The 19,336-nt window shown below is 40.2% G+C and overlaps 1 pseudogene, besides 1 other annotated feature; it reads right to left on the bottom strand.

The window, feature by feature from the left end:
* Nucleotides 1-2,911: 2,911 nt before the first annotated feature.
* SEPHS1P4 (selenophosphate synthetase 1 pseudogene 4) lies at nt 2,912-4,482 on the bottom strand (annotated as a pseudogene).
* Nucleotides 4,833-5,718: an enhancer, noted in NCBI's record as "H3K4me1 hESC enhancer chrX:72987649-72988534 (GRCh37/hg19 assembly coordinates)". NCBI's record gives its function as "activates a minimal SCP1, AML or CMV promoter by ChIP-STARR-seq in primed H9 embryonic stem cells {active_cell/tissue: H9 hESC(primed)}" and the evidence as "EXISTENCE:reporter gene assay evidence [ECO:0000049][PMID:30033119]".

Genomic DNA, 19,336 nt, shown 5'->3' with positions numbered 1-19,336 from the left:
TTAGTGCTGTAAATTTCCCTCTACACACTGCTTTAAATGTGTCTCAGAGATTCTGGTACGTTGTGTCTTTGTTCTCATTGGTTTCAAAGAACATATTTATTTCTGTCTTCATTTCATTATGTACCTAGCATTCATTCAGGAGCAGGTTGTTCAGTTTCTATGTAGTTGTGTGGTTTTGAGTGAGTTTTTTAATCCTGAGTTCTAATTTGATTGCACTGTGGTCTGAGAGACTGTTTGTGGTGATTTCTTTTCTTTTACATTTGCTGAGGAGTGCTTTACTTCCAATTATGTGGTCAATTTTAGAATAAGTGCGATGTGGTGCTAAGAAGAATGCATATTCTGTTGAGTTTTGGTGGAGAGTTTTGTAGATGTCTATTAGGTCTGCCTGGTGCAGAGCTGGGTTCAGGTTTTGGATATCCTTTTTAACCTTCTGTCTCATTGATCTGTCTAATATTGACAGTGGGGTGTTAAAGTCTCCCATTATTATTGTGTGGGAGTCTAAGTCTCTTTGTAGGTCTCTAAGGACTTGCTTTATGAATCTGGGTGCTCCTGTATTGGGTGCATATATATTTAGGATAGTTAGCTCTCATTGTTGACTTGATCCCTTTACCATTATGTAATGGCCTTCTTTGTCTCTTTTCATCTTTGTTGGTTTAATATTCCGTTTTCATCAGAGACTAGGATTGCAACCCCTACTTTTTGTTGCTTCCCATTTGCTTGGTAGATCTTCCTCCATCCCTTTATTTTGAGCCTATGTGCATCTCTGCACGTGAGATGGGTCTCCTGAATACAGCACACTGATGGGTCTTGACTTTTTATCCAAGTTGACAGTCTCTGTATTTTAATTGGGGCATTTAGCCCATTTACATTTAAGGTTAATATTGTTATGTTTGAATTTGATCTTGCCATTATGATGTTAGCTGGTTATTTTGCCCATTAATTGATGCAGTTTCTTCATAGTATCAATGGTCTTTACAATTTGGCATGTTTTTGCACTGGCTGGTACCGGTTTTTCCTTTCCATGTTTAGTGCTTCCTTCAGGAGCTCTTGTAAGGCACGTCTGGTGGTGACAAAATCTGTCAGCATTTGCTTGTCTGTAAAGGATTTTATTTCTCCTTCCCTTAAGAAGGTTAGTGTGGCTGGATATGAAATTCTTGGTTGAAAATTCTTTTCTTTAAGGATGTTGAATATTGGCCCCCACTCTCTTCTGGCTTGTAGGGTTTCTGTAGATATATCCACTGTTAGTCTGATGGGTTTCCTTTTGTGGGTAACCCGACTTTTCTCTCTGGCTTTGCTTAACATTTTTTCCTTCATTTCAACCTTGGTGAATCTGACAATTATGTGTCTTGGGTTTGCTCTTCTCGAGGAGTAGCTTTGTGGTGTTCTGTGTTTTTCCTGAATTTGAATGTTGGCCTGCCTTGCTATGTTGGGGAAGTTCTTCTGGCTTATAATCCTGAATAGTGTTTTCCAACTTGGTTCCATTCTCCCCGTCACTTTCAGGTACACCAATCAAACATAGGTTTGGTCTTTTCACATAGTCCCATATTTCTTGGAGGCTTTGTCTGTTTCTTTTTACTCTTTTTTCTCTAAACTTGTCTTCTTGCTTTATTTCATTAATTTGATCTTCAATCACTGATACCATTTCTTCTACTTGATTGAATCGGCTATTGAAGCTTGTGCATCCATCACGAAGTTCTTGTGCCATGGTTTTCAGCTCCATCAGGTCATTTAAGGTCTTCTCTACACTGTTTATTCTAGTTGGCCATTCGTCTAACCTTTTTCTCAAGGTTTTTTGCTTCCTTCCAATGGGCTAGAACATTCTCCTTTAGGTCAGAAAAGTTTGTTATTACTGACCTTCTGAAGGCTACTTTTGTCAACTCGTCAAAGTCATTCTCCATACAGCTTTGTTCCATTGCTGGCGAGGAGTTGCGATCCTTTGGAGGAGAAAAGGCACTCTTGTTTTTAGAATTTTCAGCTTTTCTGCTCTGGTTTCTCACCGTCTTTGTGGTTTTATCTACCTTTGGTCTTTTTTTTTATGCAAGAGCAATTTAAAAAAATTAAATATTTATTTGAATAACAAGTTTAAGTTCGAGCTGCAATGTTGGCAATGCAGGTTTTTAACACAGATCACAAAAAGCATGCACAAAAAAGTACTGGCGCAAAGGACAAAATAGTGCTAAGAATTAGGCCAAATAGCTACTGATTTTAAGAAAATAAAAGGCCTGAAATCACTATACAAAATATAAAATGTATTAAACACTACCATCCACAGAACAGTCTTTATTATTCATTATATTTAAAAATTATTTGCATAATTATATATTGAATTGTAAATGAGTATTATACATGAACCTCCATTTGGAAGGCAATTCCTTGTAGCACTATAGAACATCTAATTACATTGCAAAAAGTATCCTTTTTTGCTATCGATAAAACAGTTAATCGTATTACTGTAAATATCAGGAAGGCTACAAAAAAAGATATAAGATTTTTTTGTCTTCAAAATGTTTTCCATGCAGTGAAGCACTTGCTGTGTTGAACTGAATGCACTACTGGAGAATGTTCTGGATCCGAGATGCTCTTGAGAGACAAGACTAGGCTTTTCAAATCAAACACTCAAAGGAATCATGCAACCCTCTTATGACTGGGATACCATCATGTGCCACTTACCAATGCTGTCTCTCCAGAAAACCATTCAAGATGCTTAATAAAAAAATCAGACTTACTTGATAAATATACATAAAATGAAGACACCAACTGCGATTTGACATGACTACTGGTAATGTCTGTGCTATGTGAAAGCACCTTTAAAAAGAGCCTATGCGGCAAGAGATAAGTGTCTAAAGATTCAAAATGAATCAACAGCATTGGATAACAATATAATTCTCAATTCAGAAGCTGCCTCAAGATTAGGTGCATCTTCAGTTAATGTAACAGGAAAAAAAGGCAGTGGATTTTATTTTATTAATTGTATCCACTTACAAACTGACCTAAGGTCACCCCGATGTGTAGACACAATGAGATTTTTGTTGTTTATAGTCTTTAGTTGAAGTGATAAGGGAAATAGATCTATTTAAAAACAAAACCAAACAGCTATTTCTGTCTAGATTAAGATGTGGCCCCGGGTGTGAGATTCACATTTTGAGTGGCCACTTGTGGTGCAACCTTGATGATCTGGGGTTTGTCTATGATTCTGGCTGTGTGGTTGCCCTTCTCTACAATCCCAATAATCCATGCTTGGTGGCCTTCACTATATTTGGGGGACTTTATCTCTGCACAGAACCGAGCTGCTTGCTGACATGGTAAACAGATCAGAAGGCCGCCTGAGGTCTCCGGGCAGGTCCCATGCATGAGGCTGAACATGTTTCCGCAGGCCTTGCTCACCGCAGCCATCTTGGCCAGCACCAGGAGGTTGTGAATTACAAACGACACCTCGTTCCTCTGCTGCTTGGCTAGGTTCTGCACGTGGCCCAAAATCCCGAAGCCCGTGATGTCAGTGGCCATGTGGGCATTGAACGTGTGCATGAGTCCTGCAGCTGTCCTGTTGAGCCTCACCATGTTCATCATCGCCTCCTGGTTGGCCAGCTCTACATCTTCGGTGACCACTAGCTTAATCTTATTCCATTTCTAAGGAATATCCAGCCACTGGTGCACAGCCACTGCCACCTGTGTCCCCAGGGGTTTTGTCAACACCAGCACGTCCCCTGGCACTGCATTGTCTGGCATGATAAATTCATTGGGCTGGAAGACAGTGGTAGTGACTCCTCCCAGGACAATCCAGGGATTTAGTACTGTTTGGCTGACCATTACAGACATTCCTGCTTCCTCAGCTGCATCTTTAAAACTTTGGATAATCAGAGGCATCACTTTATCCCTTTCCCTGTCGGTCATTTTATTACTGACTCCAAGGAGCATCAGCATATTGTCACATTCTGTGACCCCCATTGCATAGAGGTCACTGAGGACATTGGCACATGCTATCCTGCCCATCATGTAAGGGTCGTCTACGATCGGGTAAATGTAATCTGTGGTTTGAACCAAGGAAAGCCCACCATGCCTCAAAGGAATGGCACAAGTATCCATTCCAATGCGAAGCCTTGGCATAACGGCTCCCAGAAACTGCTCATCTTCTTGGAAGTGGTTCTCCTGTAAAGATTCCAGCAATTTTTGCAAGACATCTTGGGGCACTTTGCAACCTGTGCCCTTCAGTTCAGTGAATCTGGTTAGCCAGAAGCTTTTGTCCAATTCATAACTTTCCAGGTTAAAGGACTCCCGCTTAGACATGGTTCTTGGGCCCCGCTCTCCTCACAGCTCAGCCCCTCCCCTCCCTCTGTGGGTTGGCTGGGTTCTTTATGGATCCACCGGCTGGCTTTGCACCCTCCGCCTCCTCCCAAAAACGGGCTGCGGGCCGCTCCCACAATGCACCGGGCACGGCCGGACTCCCTTAAGCGTCGCCTGAATAAAAATGCCACGCCTGGTGGCAGTAGCAGTGGCAGCCCAGGCCCATGCCTGGGTGCTGCGGGGGCTCACCTGGCTTGGCATAGCCCTGTGGGAGCCAGGCCATGGCACTCATGCCTGCTGGGCATGTGGGGCTACGTTTGGTCTTTGATGTTGGTTATCTACAGATGGGGTTTTTATGTGGATGTCCTTTTTGTTGATATTGATGTTATTTCTTTCTGTTTGCTAGTTTTCCTTCTAACAGTCAGGTCCCTCAGCTGCAGGTCTGTTGGAGTTTTCTGGAGGTCCATCCAGCCCGTTTGCCTGGGTATCACCAGCAGAGGCTGCAGAACAGTAGATATTGCAGAACACCACATATTGCTCCCTGATTTTTCCTCTGGAAGCTTCGTCCCAGAGGGAAGCCGCCTATATGATGTGTCTATTGGCCCCTACTGGGAGGTGTCTCCCAGTTAGGCTACACCGCAGTCAGGGACCCACATGAGGAGGCAGTCTGTCTGTTCTCAGAGCTCAAATGCCATACTGGGAGAACCACTGCTCTCTTCAGTTCTGTCAGACAGGGATGTTTAAGTTTGCAGAAGTTGTCTGCTGCCTTTTGTTTAGCTACGCCCTGCCCACAGAGGTGGATTCTATAAAGGCAGTAGGCCTTGCTGAGCTGTGGTGGGCTCCACCCAGTTTGAGCTTCCCGGACACTTTGTTTACCTAGTAAAGCCTCAGCAATGGCAGGTGCCCCTCCCCCAGCAAGGCTGCAGCCTTGCAGGTCGATCTCAAACTGCTGCACTAGCAGTGAGCAAGGCTCCATGTGTGTGGGACTCACCGAGCCAGGCACGGGAGAGAATCTCCTAGACTGCCGGTTGCTAAGACTGTGGGAAAAATGCAGTATTTGGGTGGGAGTGTCCCGTTTTTCCAGGTACAGTCTGTCACGGCTTCCCTTGGCTAGGAAAGGGAAATTCCCTGACCCCTTGCACTTCCCAGTTAAGGTGATGCCCCACCCTGCTTCGGCTCACCCTCCATGGGCTGCACTCACTGTCCAATCAGGCCCAGTGAGATGAACCAGTTACCTCAGCTGGAAATGCAGAAATCACCCAACTTCTGCATCAATGACACTGGGAGCTGCAGACTGGAGCTGTTCCTATTCGGCCATCTTCAGCCATCGGTCAAATTTGTCATTTTATAAGTATCCCATTCCCACAACAATGAACACACTTCCATGATAACAGCATTAATCATTTATGAGGTTGGTGTCCCATGACCCAAAAACTACCCATCAGGCCCTCAATCCTTTATTGTAGAGTTTTTATATGTGGTTTAAGTTAGGTTGCTTTCAGCTTAAAATAGACTGTTATAACCTTAAGATGTTTTATATAAGCCTGATGGTAACAACAAAAAGAAAAGCTCTAGTAGATACATAAAAGATAAAGAGAAAGAAATAAAAACATACCACTACAAAAAAAATCATTAAAGTATGAAGGAAGACAGCAAGAGAGGAATAAAGTAACAAAGAAACTACAAACATAAAACAATGCTAAAATTGACAATAAAGCCAGCAACGGTGACACATGTCTGTGGTCCCAGCTACTGAGGAGGATGAGGTGTGAGGATTGCTTGAGGTTAATAGTGTGGGGCTGTAGTGTGCTATGATTGTGCCTATTAATAGCTGCTGCAATTCAGCCTGGACAACATAGCAAGACAGTGTTCTCCAAAAATAAATAAATAAAAATTTAAAATGCCAATAGTTTTTTAAATTACTCTCCCACTTGCAAAGACAAAACAATGTGTAGAGATTTACACTATGAACATTTTTTTTTCCCAAGAAGCAACACAGAAACTTAAAAGGAAAAGTGAAAGAAACCACATACCCTTTGAAAGAAGTGTTGGGCTGCAGCCTACACTGTGAGCCAGGCAGAAAACTAAGTCCCAGAATGTGAGAGGGGGATAAACTGCCTCCAGGATACACACTCCCACTGGGAACCCAGCAATTCAGGCCACAGGGGATGAACTTAACTCTACCAGCACTGGAACTTATTTAGTGACTGGTGGGGAGTATATTATAAGTAGCAGAAACAGGACGTGCCTTGCATGCATTTCCATTCTCCAGCAGAGATGGAGGGAAGCCATTCCTGATCCTACCTCACACAGGACCTCACAGAAGTCTGCCAGCTAACTCAAGTAGTGTTCACAGGTTGAGAGAAGCTCCCAACTGAGCTTCATGATATAATCCAGAACCGAGGGGGCAAGTAGGAAGTAAACTGTAGACATGGGTTCAGGAGCTGGTTGTCCCTGCTTTGTGGGCAGACTGGGAAAGATATAGCCCCATAGCTACAGTTTATGTCTCCCTGGGGAAGGCTTATGGCCTAGGGCAGTTTTGAGTTTTGAAGGCAGACTGTCTAGAATCTAGCTAGCTGCTGCTAGCGGAATAATGTTGGTGTGAGGCCTGCTTTGCTAAGTGCATGGGAGCTAGGTGGGGCTTAGCTTACTGCTGCCTGCTAATCTCTATTCCCCATATGGATTCTTCCGTGCAGCAGAGACAGCTGTAGTCTTCCCTGGAACATTAACCTGGTGGCCAGAAAACTATCCTCCAAACCACTAGGGCCACTGCTGGCACTCACATGTGGAGAGCCAGAGTGTTTGACTTGTCTGACCCAGCCCCCACATAGCTTTGCCCCTCCACCTACCCTGGTATCTTAACACAAAGGAAAGAAAATTTTGAGAAGTCTATGGCCCTGCTCATTGCCTGAGATACCAGAGTACCTCCCCTGGGTAATAAAAGGCAAGTACAAATCCCACTGCTACCACAGCAGCTGGTGCTCTTTTGCAAGTGCCACCTCCTGGCTGGAGGCCAACCAACATAGTCCATTACAGCACCTGCAGGCAGAATAACACAGCACCTAGCAAGGAGAAAACTTGGGCATGTTCTAAGCTATCATCATTGCCTGCATCACTCTGGCTAAGTAGGAGGTCCTGAGTCTGTCCATGTGACCAGTTTATTACTATTATAGCTTGCAGTTGAGAAAGCCAACACTCTAAGTCTATTTATAACCAAGGAATCTCACAGAGTCTATATCACTCCCCTGCCACCCCCATCAGAGCTGATGCTGGTACCCGCTGCTGGGAGACTTTGTATGATGGCTGGGAGAGGTCATATCACTAGATCCCTTGTAGACATTCTCCAGCACCAGCATGGCATATGGAATCCCCACTGAACAGCTAGACTCAGAGGAGCAGCAGCATTCACTGTAATCTGACCCTCAGGGACTCCTGCTCCTGGAAGAAAGCGGGGAGTGAACCCCATCAAGAGAGCACCCTGTTTGACAAAATAATCCAGAAGGCAAGCCTTGAGTCCCTGAACTTTCTGCTTGTGGGAAGTTTCTATCAGCAGAGGCACAAGTGCAGGACTGAGCTCAGTGTGGAAAGTTATGTGGCTCTACCACGATAGTCTGGCAGCCCTGGTACTTGTGAAGGGTCTTGGAGAAGGGGACTTTCTCTTCCCCTTACTTAGCACTGCAGACACAGCTGCAGCTTCTCCCATGGGAACTTAGCATGGGTGAACATGTAAACAGCCTTCCTGAAGCACTTCAGGGTGATAGCATCCCCCAAAAAGGAGTGCCTTGCAGGTTCAGGCTTGCACTAGTAGAGCCACCATCCCTCTCTACATTAAACATAAGCATTCCTGCAGATTAAAAGAGGTACCTGTCTGATCTGAATAGCAGGAACACTGTGTCAGGAGTGTGACTGGGAGGCAGATTGTTTTCTTGCTGGCCTGGCAGGGGAGCAAGATGGCTTTCTTCCTTCTCCCATGAAAGGACCTTGGTGTGTTTCACTGAGAGCTCCCCCAGCCACCTCTGTCAAGGTTGGGTTGTCTGCCCACTACTGGGTATTGTGTTTACCTACCTGCTTTAGCCACAGCCAGTTTTCACCTGTAGACACCATCCCCTACTGCCCTGAAGACTGAACTATTCAACCTAGTAAATAAAATACTGAGAAAAAAATAAATCAATAAAAAAGTACACACCACTGGGGATAAAGAAGTTTCAAATGACCTCTGCTATTTCAACCCTACAGGAGACAGTAAACCTGCTCACACATTGAGAATATTGCTACTACAACCAGCATCTGAGTAAGCAATGACGTAAAGACTCTCTATAACCAAGGAACTCATACCAAATCTTTACCTCCAACACTCAGAGCCAAATTAGGTTACAATAAACTATAATCAGCCAGGTGTGGTGGCTCACACCTGTAATCCTAGCACTTTGGGAGGCTGAGGTGGGTGGATCACAAGATCAGGAGATCAAGACCATCCTGGCTAACATGGTGAAACCCCATCTCTACTAAAAATACAAAAAAATTAGCTGGGCGTGGTGACGAGCGCCTGTAGTCCCAGCTACTCAGGAGGCTAAGGAAGGAGAATGGCATGAACCCAGGAGGTAGAGCTTGCAGTGAGCTGAGATAGCACCACTGCACTCCAGCCTGGGTGACAGAGCGAGACTCCATCTCAAATAAATAAATAAATAAATAATAAACTATAATCATTAAAGTCACACCCTCAAAGGGTAAAAAGGAAATAAAAACCACAGTAGAATTAAAAAGTAATTAGAAGAAATAGTCTACCTAAATGAGATGGAATCAGAAAAATAATTCTGGAAATATGACAAAACAGGTTCTATAGCTCCCCCCAAAGATCATGCTAGCTCTCCAGCAATGGATCCAAACCAAGACAAAAATCTCTGAAATACCAGATAAAGAATTCAAAAGGTTGGTTTTTAAGTTACTCAAGGAGACACAAGAGAAAGGTGGAAGTAAACCTAAAGAAAGTTAAAAAAGTTCAAAATACAAATAAAATTTTTTAAAAGAAATAGATATATTTTTTTAAAAAATCAGAACTTTTGGAAATGGAATATACATTTTGAAAACTACAAAATGCAGTGGATTTAACAATAGACTACACCAAGTAGAAGAAATAATTTCAGAGCTTGAAGACAAGGCTTTTGAATTAACTCAATCAGACAAAAATTAAGAAGGAAGAATATGGGGGGTGGGGCCAAGATGACCAACTAGAAGCAGTGGTGACCGGAGGCTGTCATGGAAAAGATCCAAAACGGTTTGCAAATCTTGCACCAGCAACTGAGGTATCCAGGTTCTGTCATTAGGACTGACAAGGTAGCTGGCATGACCCATGGAAAGGAAGGAAGAGCTGCACAGATTGTCCAACAGCCACTGGGGTAGAATCAGTCTAAGCCTGATGGGTTCCTGGTGGGAGGGGCAGCCATCACCACTGCTGTGGCTGCCTGCTGTCTAAGCCATCTGAGCTCCTTGAAGGAGGGGCAGCAGCCAACACAGCAGCTGCAGGGCCTCCCTGTAGAAACTCCAACTCCAGCCAGGGGCTCAGGGAGAGAATTCTTATCTCCCTGGGCCTGAGCCCCTCGGGGGAAATGTAATCACAGTCTCTGCCAACCAGCAGACTCAGTCTTTCCTCCTGCTACCTGTGAGGAATCTGGGCAGCACAGACGAGTGGGTTTCCCTGCCACGCAGCACACCCCCTCCATTAAGGGAAAGCCAAATGGGTCCTGCTTCCCATTCCACCCAACTGGGTAAGACCCCCCTTTGCAGGGACATGGATGAAGCTGGAAGCCATCATCATTAACAAACTAACACAGGAACAAAAAAACAAACACTGCATGTTCTCACTCATAAGTGGGAGTTGAACAATGAGAATGCAAAGACACAGGGAGGAAAACGACACACACCGGGGCCAGTCAGGGGGTGGGGGGTGAAGGGAACAAGAGCATTAAGACAAATAGCTAATGCATGCAGGGCTCAAAACCTAGGTGACGGGTTGATAGATGCAGCAAATCACCATGGCACACATGTACCTATGTAACAAACCTACACGTTCTGCACTTGTATCCTTAAACTTAAAGTAAAAAAAAAAAAAACAAAAAACCCATAATCCATCACATAAACAGAACTAATGACAAAAACCACATGACAATTTCAGTAGATGCAGAAAAGGCCTTTGATAAAATTCCACATCCCTTCATGTTAAATGCCCTCTCTCACCACTCCTATTCAACATAGTATTGGAAGTTCTGGCCAGGGGAATTAGGCAAGAGAAAGAAATAAAGGGTATCCAAATAGGAGATAGGAAGTCAAATTGTCTCTGTTTGCAGATAACATAATTCTATATTTAGAAAACCCCATCATTGCAGCCCAAAAACTTTAAGCTGATAAGCAACTTCAGCAAAGTCTCAGGATATAAAATCAATGTGCAAAAATCACAAGCATTTCTATAAACCAACATTAGACAAGCAGAGAATCAAATCATGAATGAACTCTTATTCACAATTGCTACAAAGAGAATAAAATACCTAGAAATACAGCTAACAAGGGATGTGAAAGACCTCTTCAAGGAGAACTATGAAACCACTGCTCAAGGAAATAAGAGAAGAAAAAAACAAATGGAAAAGCATTCCATTCTCATGGATAGAAAAAATTGATATCATAAAAATGGCCATACTGCCTAAAGTAATTTACAGATTCAATGTTATTTTCATCAAACTACCATTGACATTCTTCACAGAATTAGAAAAAACTACTTTAAATTTCATATGGAACCAAAAAAGAGCCTGCATAGCCACGACAATCCTAAGCAGAAAGAACAAAGCTGGAGGCATCATGCTACCTGACTTCAAACTATACTGCAAGCCTACAGTAACCAGAACAGCATGGTACCAGTACCAAAATAGACATATAGACCAATGGAAAAAAACAGAAACCTCAGAAATAACACCACACATCTACAACCATCTGATCTTTGACAAACCGAACAAAAGCCATGGGGGAAGGCATTCCTTATTTAATAAGTGGTGCTGGGAAAACTGGCTAGCCATATGCAGAAAACTGAAACTGACCCCTTCCTTCCACCTTGTACAAAAATCAACTCAAGATAGATTAAAGGCTTAAATGTAAAACCCCAAACCATAAAAACCCTAGAAGAAAACCTAGGCAATACCATTCAGGACATAGGCACGGGCAAAGATTTTATGAAGAAATCACCAAAATCAATTGCAATGAAAGCAAAAACTGACAAATGGGACCTAATTAAACTAAAGAGTTACTGCACAGCAAAAGAAACTATCATCAGAGTGAACAGGCAACCTACAAATGGAAGAAAATTTTAGCAATCTACCAATCTGAAAAAGGTCTAGTGGAAGATCCCACTTGAGAGCCCACACAACTGGAATCTACAAGGAACTTAAAGAAATTTACAAGAAAAAAACAAACAAACCCATCAAAAAGTGAGCAAAGGATATGAACAGACACTTTTCAAAAGAAGATATTTATGCAGCCAGCAAACACATGAAAAAAAGCTCAACACCACTGATCATTATAGAAATGCAAATCAAAACTACAATGAGATACCATCTCATGCCCATCAGAATGGCGATTATTAAAAAGTCAAGAAATGACAGATGCTGGTGAGGCTGTGGAGAAATAGAAATGCTTTTACATTATTGGTGGGAATGTAAATTAGTTCAACCATTGTGGAAGACAGTGTGGTGATTTCTCAAGGACCTAGAACCAGAAATACCATTTGACCCAGCAATTCCATTACTGGGTATATACCCAAAGGAATAGAACTCATTCTATTATAAAGATACATGCACACATATTTTTATTGCAGTACTATTCACAATAGGAATGACATAGAACCAACCCAAATGCCCATCAAGGATAGACTGGATAAAGAAAATGTGGGCTGGGTGCGGTGGCTCACTCCTGTAATCCCAGCACTTTGAAAGGCCAAGGTGGGCAGATCATGATGTCAAGACATTGAGACCATCCTGGCCAACACAGTGTAACCGCGTCTCTACTAAAAATACAAAAATTCACCAGGCATGGTGGCGCACACCTGTATTCCCAGCTACTCTGGAGGCTGAGGCAGGAGAATTACTTGAACCTGGGAGGCAGAGGTTGCAGTGAGCCAAGATCATGCCCCTGTACTCCAGCCTGGTGAGAGAGCAAGACTCCATCAAAAAAAAAAAAAAAAAAAAAAAAAAGAAAGAAAGAAAGAAAGAAAGAAAATGTGGTATGTATACACCATGGAATACTATGCAGCCCCCAAAAATATTGAGATCATGTCCTTCGCAGGGACATGGATGAAGCTGGAAGCCATCATCCTTAGGAAACTAACACAGGAGCAGAATACCAAACACCATATGTTTTCACTCATAAGTGGGAGTTGATCAGTAGAACTCATGGACACAGGGAGGGAAACAGCACATACTGGGGCCTGTCAGGTGTGGGTGATGGGAGGGAGAGCACCAGAACAAATAGCTAATGCATGCAGGGCTTAAAACCTAGGTGATGGGTTGATAGGTGCAGCAAACTACCATGGCACACATATACCTATGTAATAAATCTGCATGTCTGCATGTTCTGCACATGTATTCCAGAACTTAAAATAAAAAAAAAGAATCAAAAGAAATGAACAAAGTCTCCAAGAAATGTGAAATTATGTAAAATGGCCAAACATAAAAATCACTGGTGTTCCTGAGGGAGGAAAAAAAAAGAGTTTGGAACATTTATTTGAGGGAATAATTGAAGAAAATTTCTGGGCCTTGCTAGAGGTTTAGACATCCAAATACAAGAAGTTCAAAGAACTCCTGGGAGATTCCTTTCAAAAAGAACATCACTGAAGCATGTAGTCATCAGGCTATCTAAAATCAGAGTGTAGAAAAGAACTCTAAAAGCAGTGAGACAAAAGCATCACATAACCTATAAAGAAAATTCTATTAGATTAACAGCAGACTTCTCAGAAGAAACCTTACAAGCCAGAAGTGATTAAGGTCTTATATTTAGCCCCCTTAAATAGAATAACTGTCAGTCAATAATTTTGTATCCCATAAAACTAAGTTTTATAAATGAAGGAGAAAGAAAGTATTTTTCAGACAAGCAAATACTGAGGAAATTGGTCACTACCAGACCAGACTTACAAGAAATGCTAAAAGGATTTCTACATCTTGAAACCAAAGTTCCATATGTACCAGAATAGAACCTCTTCAAAGCATAAGACTCACAGAGTGTATGAAACAGTACCACAATGAAGAAAACAAAGTATCTCTGGAACAGTATCTTATATCTCAATATTAACATTGAATGTAAATGGCCTAAATGCTTCACTTAAAAAATAAAGATTGGCAGAATGGATAAAAAATGTCACAAACTAAATATTTTCAAAACATTCACCTAATATGTAATGATTCTTATAAACTCACAGTAAAGGAGTAGAAAAAGGTATTGCATGCAAATGGAAATCAAAAGCAAGCAGTAGCAGGTATTCTTATATAAAACAGGCTTTAAAGCAACAACACTAAAACAAGACAAAAAGTCATTATATAATGATAAAAGGATCAATGCAACAAGAAGATATTATAATACCATCTTAAACATATATGCACCTGAAATCAAGATGGAAATTTCAAAATTCTTCAAAGTAAATGATAATAGTAACCCAAGTTATAAAATCCTCTGGGATACAGCAAAAGCAATGCTAAGAGGAAAGTTTATATCACGAAATGCCTACATCAAAAAGTCTGAAAGGTCACAAATTGACAACTTAATGTCACACCACAAGGAATTAGAGAAATAAGAATAAACTGAACCCAAAGCTAGCAGAAGAAAAGAAATAACAAAGATCAAAGCAAAACTAAATGAAATGGGTACAAAAAATACAAAAAATTAATGAAACAAAAGTTCAGTTTCTGAAAAGATAAGCAAAATTGATAGCCCATTAGCTAGAATAACAGAGAAATGAAGAGAGAAAATTCAAATAAGTTCAAGTAGAAATAAAAATGGAGAACATTACAACTAACACCACAGAAATATAAAAGATCATTCAAGACTACTATGAACACCTCTATGCACACAAACTAGAAAATCTAGAGGAAATGGGTAAATTTCTGAAAATATACAACCCTTAGCTTAAATCAGGAAGAAATAATAGAAATTCAGAACAGACCAGCAACAAGCAGTGAGGGTGAATTAGTAATAAAAAAAAATGCCAACAATAAAAAAAGCCTAGGGTCAGATGGATTCACAGCTGAATTCTATCAGATCTTCAAAGAAGAATTGGTACCAATTCTACTGAAACCACTCCAAAAGACTGAGAAAAAGGAAATCCTTCCTAACTCATTCTATGAGGACAGTATCACCCTGATACCAAAGACAGGAAATAACATAATAAAAATGAAAACTACAGACCAATATTCCTGATGAACATAGATGCAAACATCCTCAACAAAATACTAGCAAACTAAATCTAATATCAGGAAGCAGAGGGTCCTTGGTTCTTGTCTTCTTGGAAGAAAGAATTCAACCAAGAGAAAAGCAGTTACAGTTAAGACTAGGAAAGTTTATTTAAAGTGAAAATATACCCTGAATGCTGAGTTAGAGTGGGCTGCTTAAGAATGAGACAGCCCAGATAGGCACGGGGAGGCTCTCTTACGAGAGTCTCACAGGATTATTCATGAATGGTGTGAAGGAGTGTTATTAGCAAGCACGTTTTGGGTGGTCCCCTGGGCATGTCTTATTAGCATCTTAAATCTCGACCTAGGGGTGTGTTTCTTACTATTATAATGAGCAAAATGTTACCTTTAGGGTGACACTGCCAAGTTGAGGTGTGCGTGCTAGCCACTGGGAAAAGTCCCTACTACAGTCATTTCCTGTTACGGATAAGTCTTGGTTGGGGCTGCATAAGCATAACCACAAGTCTAGATGTGGCTATTGGCTTTTTAAAAAATCCTAACTGCTAGGGAAGCATTGATTGCTAGTGGGGCAATGTTTCCAGGGCTTCCTTCCTCCAGGGCTGCCTTTCTTTCTTATGTATATCTGTCTACAAACTCTAACAAATCCAACAGCACATCAAAAAGATAATTCATCATGATCAAGTGGGTTTTATCCCAGGGATGAAGGGATGGTTCAACATATGCAATTCAATAATGTGATTCACCACATAAATAGAATTAAAAACAAAAACCATATGATCATCTCAATAGACTGAGAAAAAGCATTTAATAAAATCCAGGATCCCATTATGATAATAATCCTCAACAAACTGGGCATAGAAGGGACATACCCCAAAATAATAATAGCCATATATGACAAATTTATAGCCAACATCATACTGAATGGGGGAAAAGTTGAAAGCATTCCCTATAAAAACTAGAACAAGACAAGGATATCCACTTGCATTACTTCTATTCAACACAGTACTAGAAGTCCTTGCCAGATTAATCAGGAAAAGGATATAGATTCTTTCTCTTTTCCAATTTGAATGCCCTCTATTTCTGTTTACTGATAATATGATCGCATACCTAGAAAACCCCAAAGACTCCTCCAAAAGACTCCTAGGTATGATAAATAAATTCAGTAAAGTTTTAGGTTACAAAATCAATGTACACAAATAAGTAGCACTGCTATCCACCACCAATGACTAAGCTGAGAGTCAAATAAACAACTCAATCCCTTTTACAATAGCTGCAAAAAAAAAAAAAAAAAAAAAAAACCTCCAGGAATGTACTTAACCAGGAAAGTGAAAGATCTCTACAAAGAGGACTACAAACTACTGCTGAAAGAAACTGTAGATGACACAGGGCTGGGTGCGGTGGCTCACACCTGTAATCCCAGCACTTTGGGAGGCCAAGTCAGGTGGATCACGAGGTCAGGAGATTGAGACCATCCTGGCTAACACGGTGAAACCCCGTCTCTACTAAAAATACAAAACATTAGCCGGGTGTGGTTGCAGGCGCCTGCAGTCCCAGCTACTCAGGAAGCTGAGGCAGGAGAATGGCCTGAACTCGGGAGGTGGAGCTTGCAGTGAGCTGAGATTGCACCATTGCACTCCAGCCTGGGCAACAGAGCGAGACTCCATCTCAAAAAAAAAAAAAAAAAAGAAATTATAGATGACACAAACAAATGGAAATACATTCCATGCTCATGAGTTGGAAGAATCAATATTGTAAAACTGACCACACTGCCTAAAGTAATCTACAGATTTAATGCAATTCCTAACAAAATACCAACATCAATTTTCACAGAATTAGAAAAAACAACCCTAAAATTCACATGGGATCAAAAAAGAGCATGAATAGCCAAAGCAATCCTAGGAAAAAAGAAAAAATCTGGAGGCATCACATTACCTGACTTTAAATTATACTACAAGGTTGTAGTAATAAAAACAGCATGGTACTGGTATAAAAGTAGATATATCAGCCAGTAGAACAGAATAGAGAATGAATACAGAAATAAAGTCAAACAAACACTTACAATCAAGCGATCTTTGACAAAGCATGCAGAAACATAAATTGAGGAAAGAAAACCCTGTTCAATAAATGGTGCTGGGAAAACTGGATAGCTACATGTAGAATAATAAAACTGGTTCTCCATCTTCATATACAAAAACCAACTGAAGATGAGTTAAAGACTTAAATCTAAGACCTGAACCCATAAAAATTCTAGAAGAAATGCTTAGAAAAACTCTTCTGTACATTTACCTGGGCAAATAATTAATGACTAAGACCTCAAAAGCAAATGCAACAAAAACAAAAATAAATAAATGTGACCTAATGAAACTAAAAAGCTTCTGCACAAAGAAATAATCATCACAGTAAACAAACACCCCTCAGAATGGGAGAAAATTTTTACAAACTATGCATCCAACAAAGGACTAATGTGCAGAATCTACAAGGAACTCAAATCAGCAAGAAGAAAACAAATAATCCCATCAAAAAGTGAAAAAATGACATGAGTAGATACTTCTCAAAAAATACAAATGGCCAACAAATATATGAAAAAAAATTCTCAATACCATTAATCATCAGGAAATGCAAACTAAAACCACAATGAGATACCACCTAACTTTAGCCAGAAAGGCCATTATTAAAAATTCAATAAGTTGACATGGATGTGGTGAAAAGGGAACACTTATACACTGCTGGTAGGAATGTAAATTAGTACAACCTCTATGGAAAACAGGGTGGAGTTTTCTCAAAAAACTAAAAGCAGATCTACCATTTGAGCCAGCAATCACACTGCTAGTTATCTACCCAAAGGAAAATAAGCCATTATACCAAAAAGATACCTGCATGTGTATGTTTATCACAGCACAATTTACAATTGCAAAGATATGAAAACAACCTATGTGCCTAAGCCAATTAGTAGATGAGGAGGATGTGGTATATATACACCATGGAATACTACACAGCCATAAAAAATGAAATAATGTATTTTGCAGCCACTTAGATGGAGCTGGAGGCCATTATTCAAAGTAATTCAGTAGTAGAAAACCAAATACCATACGTTCTCACTTACAAGTGGGAGCTAAAGTATGGGTATACAAATGCATACCGAGTGGCACAGTGGACATTGGAGACTCAGAAGAAGGGAGAGTGGGAGGGGAGTGAAGGATAAAAAACTACATATTGTACAATGTACACTACTTGGGTGATAGTTGCACTAGACTCTTGACTTCACCACTATACAATTCATTCCTGTAACCAAAAACCACTCGTACCACAAAAGCTACTAAAATAAAAGTAAAAACAGAACTGACAATAGTAAGTCCCTGCCTATCAACAAATACTTTGATTAAATTCTCCAATCAAAAGACAGTGGCTGAATGGATTTTTAAGAATATCTAAAAATATGCTGCCAACAAGAACATTATCTTTAATGACACACAATGGCTGAAAATGAAGGAATAAAAAAAGATATTTCAAGCAAATGGTAACCAAAGGAGAGTATTAGACAAAAACAGACTTTTAGTCAGAATCTGTCACGAGAGACAAAGAAGGTTACTGTATAGTAAAAAGAGGGTCAATTCATTAAGAGAAAACCACAACTATAAATACATATGTACCCAACATCACAGCATTTAAATATATGAAGCAAATATTAAATAAGGGGGGAAATATACAGCAATACAAAAATAGCAGGAGACTTCAATTCTCCACTTTTAGCAATAGATAGATCATCATACAGAAAGTCAATAATGAAACAGCAGATTTGAATAACACTACAGACCAAATGGACCTAACAGACATAAAGAATATTCCATTCTTTTCAAGTGCATATAGAACATTTTCCAGGAGATCACGTGTTAGGCCACAAAATAAGTCTTAACAAATCTAAAATTGAAATTATATCTTTGCATCAACAATGGCATAAAATTAGAAGTCAGTAACAGGAGAAATTTTAGAAAATTCACTAATATGTGAAAATTAAACAGCATAGTCCTGAATAACTATGTTGCCAAACCTAATGAGCCAAACATAAAACAAATGAGCCAAACATAAAACAAAAGGGAGTTAAAAAAATAACTTGAGACAATGGAAATGAAAATAAACATTTCAAAACTTATGGGATGCAGCAAAAACAGTTCTAAAAGGGAAGTTTATAGCAACAAACCCCTACCTTGAGAGAAAAGAGAGATCACAAATAAATGACCTAAATTTACACCCCAAAGAACTAAAAAAAGAAGAACAATCTAAGTCCAAGGATAGCAGAAAAAGTAAACAACAGAGATCAAAGCAAAAATAAATAAAATAGACGCTAAAAAGACAATAGAATAGATCAATACCACTAATAGTGGATTTTTTGAAAAGAAATACAAAACTGACAAATCTTTAGCTAGACTAAGAGAAGAGTTAAATAAATAAAATTAGAAATGAAAGAGAAGACATTACAACTGATACCCTACAAAACAAATGATCTTAAGCTATAATGAACGATTATATACCACAAATTAGATAACCTAGACTAAACAGATAAATTCCTAGAAACATACAACTTACCACAAATGAATCAGGAAGAAGTGAAAAAT

The sequence above is a fragment of the Homo sapiens genome, chromosome X, assembly GCF_000001405.40.
Source record: "Homo sapiens chromosome X, GRCh38.p14 Primary Assembly".
NCBI classification, from domain to species: Eukaryota; Metazoa; Chordata; class Mammalia; order Primates; family Hominidae; genus Homo; species Homo sapiens.
The sequence above is the reverse complement of the archived record's forward strand: the minus strand, read 5'-3'. Positions and strand labels throughout refer to the sequence as shown.